Below are 9,381 nucleotides of genomic sequence, written 5' to 3'. Positions count from 1 at the left end.
CACGATGAGTGTGAAATGCCTTTGAAAAGGAAAAGAAAAAGAAAACACGGACTCTGTTTCAGGGTCATTCGACCTGGAATCTTGACCATAAGTGCTGATTGGGGGTGGGAGAGGGAGAGTAAGGGCGGAAGCAGTTGTCCATCAGTGCTGGGAATCTTCAATAAGGGGAAGCATCCACCACACACTTGGCGTCCACTTTGTGAATCACCATTGAACACATGATGTCATTCGTTATACAATTTCGATGTTTTTGAGGGGAGGTGACACGTGAGGTTTTCAGTTTAGTGGGTTTGTTTTATTCAATAGATTACAAACAAAATGTTTCTTTGCGTTGAACAAAGCCATAATTAAATTATGATATGTTAGTGTAGAAACCTCATGTTACACTCAACCAGTGATGTTTCAAGCATAATATGAAAGATAACCTTTTATGAAAGAATGCTTTATTACTATAATTCCTAAAACTTTACATCTTGAAACCAAAACTTTTTAGAGTTTATTGCAGCTGCAGGGTTTCTTAATGTTTCATTTCTCTTTGGTTGATGCACTCTTAACTTTAGGTCTCTCTGTTTTGCCCCTTAGCCTTCTAACACACACACACACACACACACACACACACACACACACACACACACACACACAGATCTCATTTTTAGCTTTTTTTTTTTTTAATAGTGGTTGTCCCAAAAGAACTGGTCTCTGCTAGAGCTGGTGCCTGTCACCGCCGCCCCTCACATGCCTGGTAATTAAACTCTGACTGATTTATTGACTGACAGCCAACAAATCCCAACCCAGTTTTTATGATATACATACTTCTCCGGGCTAAATTTACTCAAACAACAACCCAGTCAAAGCAGAGGAAAGGCGGAAGGAGGCAATGGGGGAGGAGAGGGGCAAGTGATATGAGCATAAACGCGGAAACCAGCTTTAATTGGTGAAGGGAGACATTTTGCAAAAGAAAGAAAGAGACAGAAAGAAAGAGAAAGGAAGGAAGGAAAGAGGGAAGCAAGGAGGAACAAAAATAAAGGAAGAAAAGAACTCAGTGCAGCATCTTTTTTTTTCTTTCTTCAAATCCCGAGTTCTGGGGAGGCAAGGAAAGCTGGTAAACATCATTACTTCAGCTTTCAGGTTCATTGGAACCGCCTCACGTACAAAAGCGCTCTGAAGGGGAACACAAGACGTGCTTGCAGCTAATATTACAGTCAAGTTCCAATTTTACCTAAGGGAAAGCAGCTTTATTAAAAGTCATGACTGAAATTGCATGACAGGTGCCAATATCCTCCGCCCTGACAGATGTGTCAGTTTCAGAATGCCATTTCCTTGTCAGCGTTCCCTGGATGGAGCTCCCCACACTGCCATTTGTCTCTCTTCCAGGAGATCACACACGCCCGCCGTTTGCCTCCAAGCTGCACAGCTTTGTTTGATATGTGGAATCCTCACAATGAGACTTATTAAAAGACAGTCCATTATTTTTATTTAGGGTATTTCCAAAACAAGCAGAGCGCACACGGAGATAATTTAAAAATCGTGTGGCGGGTCATCTCCAGGCCAGCGTGGCTCAATTTGAAATGCATAAAAAAGTAGAATCTCTATCCTTTTCCCACGGCCACATCACACACACACACACGCACATCACAAACACACACACACACACACACGCACTTTCCAATTCATAACGGGCGTGATTTGAGTGACATTTAACCCTTGACTAATAGCCCTGACAGTCCAAAGCCCTATTTTGCTATAAACCACAGGAGCTTTCAACATGAAGGATTAACCCTGCTTCCTTTTTTCCCTAAATCTTTCTTCCTTTACTTCTTTTTTTTTTCTTATTTCCTTGCATCCCTCTTCTATTTCGTTACAGGTGGGCTTTCTCATCACAGCAATAGATATAAAATACTCCTGATTGGCTGTATTTATGGGGCCTTTTCGTCCTCCTGTTGGTTTCAAACACAAAGAAAAATGGTCTCTCTACCGTGCCTGGTTTGAACAGCAGGTAAAGCTGCAGCCGCCTCCTCTCCAGCCCTGGATGGAAAAGTATTACAGATGAAATGATTCCACCATGGAAATAGTGACAGACAAGTTCCGGCTTAAAGGAGACTTGTGCAGATGCCAGAGGCTGTGAAGCCCGATGGATTCTGCACCAGACAAGGTGACCCAGGCTGGCTTTGCTTTTCCTAGCTGGGGATGGACAGAAGGCAGGATGGGGTTTGGAGAGCTGAGCCACACTGCCAGTGTCAAGGATGAGAATTCACTAGAACCGCTATTTGTTCTCAGGTGAGAGAACTCCGGTTTCAGGCTTTCCTATTACTTTATCTCATAGAGTTAGAGCCAAGTGAAGTCTCAGTGTCAAGGGACATTGATTGTGCAACCTCATCCCATGCATTGTGCATCCTGGTCAGCCTTCTCAAACCCAAGTGGCATTTGGCAAGTCACCCCAGCCAGCAGGACACATTCTGGAAAGGCCTTTCGGGTCAACATTGAGGTCTGGTGCACACAACTGGGAATCCTGGCAGTGCATTTGGGAAAGGCGGGCAAGGCCTACAGTTTCACTCTTTCTGACTCTGTCCAGAGCTGTGTTAGTCTCTTGCTTTCATGAGCACCCTAGCAAGCCACAAAGCAGAAAAAAATTAAATCATAAAGTGAAAAGCAAAACAACTATCTCCGGCTTACTGCCGTAATCTTGAAATGGCAGATGGGCTCCCCAGGATGGGCCATCTTCTGAGGTCAGCCCTGGACCCTGGGAGACTGGTGGCAAGGTGGCCACACCACCACCTCGCCCTGTTACCTCTAAGTAAATTCAGAACAGAAGATGCAGCTGAGGAAATTCATTTGCATTTGCTATTTGTTTATTGAGTGACTAGTAAGGGACCATGCTAAATGCTGGGAACCAAAGACAACAGATATGGGGTTTCCAGCTTCAGAGAGGCCAAAGGTGTTTTTTCTCTTCCTTTTTTTTTTTGAGATGGAGTCTTGCTCTGTTACTCAGGCTGGAATGCAGTGGCGTGATCTCAGCTCACTGCAACCTCCGTCTCCCAGATTCAAGCGATTCTCCTGCTTCAGCCTCCCAAGTAGCTGGGATTACAGGCATAGGCCACAATGCCCATCTAATTTTTGTACTTTTAGTAGAGATGGTGTGTCACCATGTTGGCCAGGCTGGTCTTAAACTCCTGACCTCAAGTGATCCATCTGCCTCAGCCTCCCAAAATGCTGGGATTATAGGCATGAGGCACTGTGCCTGGTTGGCCACAGATATTTTTAAGCCAGTAACAGGGTTTCTTACACTGTTTTCCTTAATAATTATGTGTATTTACATGCCATTTTTGCTGAATCTATTAATCAACCACTCGATATTTATTCTGCTGTGAAGCATTACTTTTCACCCCTCCTTTTGTCATTTCTTATCCTATAACCAGAATTAATATGTTCCGTGCTCTTACTTTTGGCCATTATTATAGCTCCCATTTTTGTCTTCATTCTTACCTGTTGATTTGCTTAAGATTTGCTAAAAGTTCAGAAGACATGAAGCCATACCAAAGGCTTTGCTTGCTGGGGGTGGTATCTGCTGCTTATTTCTGACTTTAGGATATATTCTTGTTATTATCCTTTGGTTGTGAAGATCACCAGAGGAGAAAGCAACGTCCGGGCCTGACTCTCTCGTCCTTACCCAGAAGACTGCGTCTTGGTCTCCCCTGTGCTCCGAGGCTGTCTATCCAAACCCAGACGTCACTGCTCTTCCTTGCTGTTCTGCCATTTGTAAACATCGAAGTCATTTTGGGGTTATTTTTATTTTTCATTCACTTGTCAGATACTTCCTTCACTTTTTTAACCAATATTAATTAAATGCCTGGGGCCTGGTGATGAATAAACACAGACACTTATGCCCTGTGGATCTTAAAATCTCAGGAGTTCTGAGCTATCCTTGTACTTGACTGTGGTCAAACATTTTAAAACTGCTTCACAAGCAGATCCTTTAGCTACGTGTTACCATCTATGTATTGTTACCCCCCCAGCCTTTAGTGAAGGAGGTTTTATATATTATTTTGGTTAAAAAGGGGCATTTGCACTTCTTTTCAAAAAAGAAAATTATATAAATTTTCTATGATTATTTTGTTTCCTTGGTCAGAAGCCTTTGTTGCCTGGTAAAGAAACCAAATGCTTTTTCTTGGCTTTTGAGTCTCTTCCCAGTCTAACCTCAACCTAATTATCCAATCTCTCTCTTTGCTGCCCCTCCTGGCTCTGTCTGTCTTCTATGATCTGGCCACTGAAACCTATCTCTGTATCTTTGTATATGCTATTGCCTCTGGGTCTGTAAAAACTGTATGCAGTCTTCATTGCTTTCTGTACCCCCTCTTCTCTCCTCTCTCTCTCTGTGTAGATCTCTAATACAGTGCTTCACACTGTCCTAAACGTAGTTTCTCATTCCTCATGTCCTATACCAGACTGGAAGCTCCCCTAAGTCAGGATTCATGTCTTCTTCAAAAACTTTGCATACATAAAATATCTCCTGGCACATCTCAGTGAGGTTACACGAACATTTTCCAAATACAGCTAAGCTTTCCACCTCACTGACTTTCCAAGTATGATTACTGTAGCTTTGGGATGACCTCCTACTGAATCGCTACCTGCTGAAGCCTTTATTTTCTTCAGAGATCGTTCTTTGAGTGGAAAATCCAGTTCCAACATAAAGACTTTTTCACATTCTTCTAGTTGGATCCCAGTGTTTTCTTTTGAGAACACCCAAGAGCATTATTAATATCTTTATTGTACCATTACCTTCTACTTTGTAATAAAGTTATCTGGGTATGTAACTTATTACCACTACCAGATTTGAAGTACCTGGAAGGCAGATGGTGATGGTATATAGCTTATATCTCTCATGTAATAAAACATAAAAGCACAATGTCTATTACATACTAGGTGGATAACAAATGCTAATAGAAGGGTTAAATAAATGAATTAATGCATGGATATATTCACATGATACTTCAGTTTTAAAATCAACTTTTAGCATGTCACATTCTAGCAAGCAGGTCTATATACTTTTTAATTGGATATCCTCTTTCTTCTCTTAAAGGAGAAGAGACAAATTGATGAGATAAAAGTTTGCTTGGACTCGACACATTCTTTGAAACACCTCTCTTGGACTCTCACTTAAATTGCTTTTAACTACTCACAATATCCTGGTTTCAGTGATGTCTGACTACCAGGAACATTAGAGTTATGAAGATTACAAGTATTCTATAAAATATACAATTGAAAACAGAGAGCAGAGCAAATGGACCCATGAAAGAATGGCGGTAGAATGAACAAGTCAACACAGCAGGCATGCTCCTATGAGCTAATCGCAAAGCAGTTGTCAAGCAAGGATGTTTATTTTAAAATCTTATGGGCCACTTTGACATGTAGGAAGTGTGTGGGGATTTATGCTCAGTTTGGGTCACTCAAGCCAATGGTACTATTTGTTAGACAGGCATATGGGGCTCTGCGAAACACTGTGACTGAAAGGGGAATGATTAACAACATTTTTGAGCTTTTTCAGGAAGTAATTTTATTCACATTTCAAGAACCACAGGGCATTCCAGAATCAGAGTTCTCCTTTTCTTGTTTCTATTGGATTTATTCTTTGGCCCTATTTTAAAATCACCTAAAAACACTTTTAACTACTGAAAGTGTCTCATCTCAGGTCACTTACAGAGCCCCCATTGATCTGGCATTACCAGGGGTTAGGAGCTTGGAACTGGACCTACATACACTTCCATCTCTCATGTAACTTTTAAAAAATGTTCTTTATTTCTTCTGTTTTCACCAAGAATTTAGAAGAACAAATCTTCTTTATTGTCTTAAAACTGAGAAGCTCAATCAATGGATTTGTCACAGAAGGTCAGGAGGAAGAAGAGGAAACTGGATAAAATTCAATGAAGAGGGGAAAGGAGAATGAAAGAAAACTGAGAATGTTTTTCTCTGATTAGGAGAGACCTGTGCTCACAGATGGGGCATTCCTTAATGCACTTCATTATTTACAATATCTCATCAAACAGGTGAAATGTTGAAAGAATTGGATTAGGAAGAGGTGGGATGTGTTCTCAGTGGAAGAAACTTAGACTAATGGAAGAATAAGGCCAAATAAAAACTGGATGAATGAACATGATGGCCCAAGGAGAGGTCCTGTCCAGCTTCCTCAAGCAGGACCCTCCTCTCCCCGGGGCAAACTGTCTTTGCACGGTGTTACGAGTGATGCAGCCCCCACTACTGAAATGCAGCTCCGTGTGCATAGAAATTCATTTGTGGTCAGATAATCCAAGCTCAGTCACTATTTTAGAATAACTCATTAGTAATTGTATAAAAGTGTTAATATACCAGCTCTTACTGCTGAGTTGAGAAAAGACCCTCAGTTTGTAAAAGATTCATTCTTTCTTGCCAAATTTAATCACTCTACCATTTTACCATACTTTATTTTTATAGCCCACAGTTACTAGTATAAACTCAATGCAAAGAATCTTTATTACCCTAAATCCTTATTCCTCAAATTTCTGCACCTGTTTGTAAATAATCTATGTCTATTTACATTGTGCAGTAAACTTATAGTATTTCTAACATTATATTTGTAAACCAAGTTAGAAAAAAAACCCATCGAATTGAAACAAGTTATATTGAAAGCAGGCAGTTTAATTCAGTCCTTTCCAAAGGTCACAGTCTTGTAGTTATTATTATTTATTCCTACTTTTTCTGGAATACTTAACTATCCTCCTTCACTCATTGCTCTCATCCAGTCCCTGGGAGTTTACTCTTAAAAACAGATATTGATGATACCCTAGCTATAATTCTGACGTGTCCAAATGTAAAGAAAATAAGAGGTGAAGCTCACGCATTGGTTTCCTATTTTTCACCAGCAGGCTCAGGGTACAGATTCTTAAAGCAGGAAGACAAACAGAGTCTGAAACTACCCAGAGTAATAATGTGGAATGCCATCTCCTTTGTGGGACAGAAAACTGAACAGATAGATCATGTTGCAATTAGGAAAATATTTCCCTTACTTAATGGATATATGCTAAAGAATCTCAGAAAATCATTGGTGCATGTGGTGTGCGTGTGTACATAAGCATGTGTGTTTCTGCATGCTCATGCATGTTGTACATGTGTGTATGCACATGCATGTGTGTTTGTATGCTTGTGTATGCATGTTAGAACCAATGGGTTTCTTCAGAAGATGTAGACAAATTATTAGCAAATATTCTCCCTTTACACTGGCATGGAGACCTCAGAGGAGATCAACTATAAATGACAAAGTACAGTCCAGATCACTCAAGTACAGACACCTCCTGCACTCAGCATCTCTCAGCCACCACTGGAAGATACTGTGTTTGCATAAAAGGTATAGGAGTCCTGCGACTTTCCTTCTTGGGGAAAAACAGTTTGGAGGGTTGCAGAGATTTGAACTTCTTTGCAAAAGTTTCATTTGGCCTTTGAGAGGGACCACGCTTATTCTGGTATGCTTTTCCATACATCAAGTTCCCTCAGCTACCTCCCAAGCCTATAGTAGAGGCTATGAAACACCATGACGTACGAAAGTGAAGTCTGGGCAGACAAAGCAAAAGGTTTCCACGTGTGGTAGGCGAAGACAGCGTTGGACTGCTACTCTTGAAAGATGTCCCCTCAGTGTGTCCCACAACACCTCTATCATGGCACATGACTGTCCACTGAGGGGTTTCAGATATGACCAGCAGCAGGGGCAACAGTGATCCTAAGCCCTCTATGAGGTTCAGGAAGGAACACAGAACAACAACAACAAAATCCTAAAAAAACACCCAGTAGGGAGAACACTCAAGGGCTGACATGAAACAAGCTGCTTCTTCCCGTGTGCACCAGAAGGCACTTTGGTGGTGATCAGGGTGATGAGGCCAAACTGGGCTATAGGATAACAGCCCTTACCACATGTCATGTGCTCAACTCTCTTCTGCTGCTGAACTGTAAGCTCCTGAAGAACCAGTTAGGGTAGTTTGTTTATCGCGCTATCTGAGTGTTCAAACCATAGTAGGAACTCAATAAATATTTATTTTCTAAACGATTGAATTTTGTTGAAATAGAAAAATTGAAATGTAAGCATATTTCCAAGCAGTTAAAGGTGTGGAAAAGAAGACAATGTTTTTCTGGATAAATTCCCATGGACAATACTGGCTAGAATGACGACAGCAACATTGACATTGTGTTTTCTGTTCTATTCTCTCTTTTTTCCTTCAACAGCCCTTATGAAAAGATTCCTGTTTAGTGATACACATACAGGCGCGTTCGTGGACAGGCACACGCACACACATTCATTATCTTTTAGGGGTCTAATTCAGGCCATCTGCTCTCTCATAAAAAGTGATAGCTTTTAGATTCCTTTAATGTTTCTACTTATAAAGGATCATAGGTCTGTATAATAATTAGTCTTTTCCTACTAATTGGTGACAACTTGAATCCCCTTTTATCTGAGCATCAAAATGTTTTAAATATTAACTAAGCTTTACAGCCTCTTGGTATGATGTGTGCCATGTGTCTGTGGTGGAGCTGGGTCAGCTGGCCAAGGAGAGCGGGTCAGCCATGGGCCAGGGCAGGATGGCAGGGCCTGTCATGGGCAGCATCACACACAGGTCACAGGCAGCTCAGACCCAAAGCCAGTGGGAAGGTGGCTGCTTCTGAACTTTGGAATTCCATTGTATTTAAAAACAGGTTTGACTCTAAACAATGCGACTACCCAATTAGACTTTTAAAAGTCAAGTCAGTCAAACAACTCGTCTGACATTTCACTAATATGATCAGCGGAGGCAGGCAGAGGAACCTCGCCATGGATGTGGGTAAACCACTTCAGCAAAGGCACGATTTTAAAGGGATTCACACCATGTGCTTAATTTAAATGTTAAATGAGCTGAGCACCGTTCTGGGGAGTTGATCTATATGAAAGCTGTCTTGTGCTTGTAGGAGTGGGATATTTGTATAGTAAAATTTGTTTATTATATGTATTTATAACTTATTGTATTAAATTACTATTTAAATTTATTTCTTATATAATGGATTTTATTAAACTATTTAAATTATATATGTGTCAGTATTAAAATTATTTAATGATCATATAATTGTATTATTATATTAATTAATGTACTGTAATTATTATATAATTAATTGAGGTAATTATAAAATTATATGATTAATATCATTATTATATTTAGTTAACCTATTTTATTTATATATTATATATTAAAATGAAGTCATTATAGTAGCAATTCTTTTTTAAAAATTTAAATTTGTATATTGCTTTTTAAGTTTATAAACCGGAGTGATAGCCACATCAACTATGAAGCAGTTCAGGAAAATCCAGAAATTAACATGAACTGGGATCCG

At 40.2% G+C, this 9,381-nt stretch overlaps 1 annotated feature.

Annotated features, from left to right (window-relative positions):
- Positions 8,617–9,123: an enhancer, noted in NCBI's record as "H3K4me1 hESC enhancer chr18:73513709-73514215 (GRCh37/hg19 assembly coordinates)". NCBI's record gives its function as "activates a minimal SCP1, AML or CMV promoter by ChIP-STARR-seq in primed H9 embryonic stem cells {active_cell/tissue: H9 hESC(primed)}" and the evidence as "EXISTENCE:reporter gene assay evidence [ECO:0000049][PMID:30033119]".

The sequence above is a fragment of the Homo sapiens genome, chromosome 18 (genome assembly GCF_000001405.40).
Source record: "Homo sapiens chromosome 18, GRCh38.p14 Primary Assembly".
Classification (NCBI taxonomy): Eukaryota; Metazoa; Chordata; class Mammalia; order Primates; family Hominidae; genus Homo; species Homo sapiens.
This window is presented reverse-complemented; position numbering and strand designations above follow the sequence as displayed.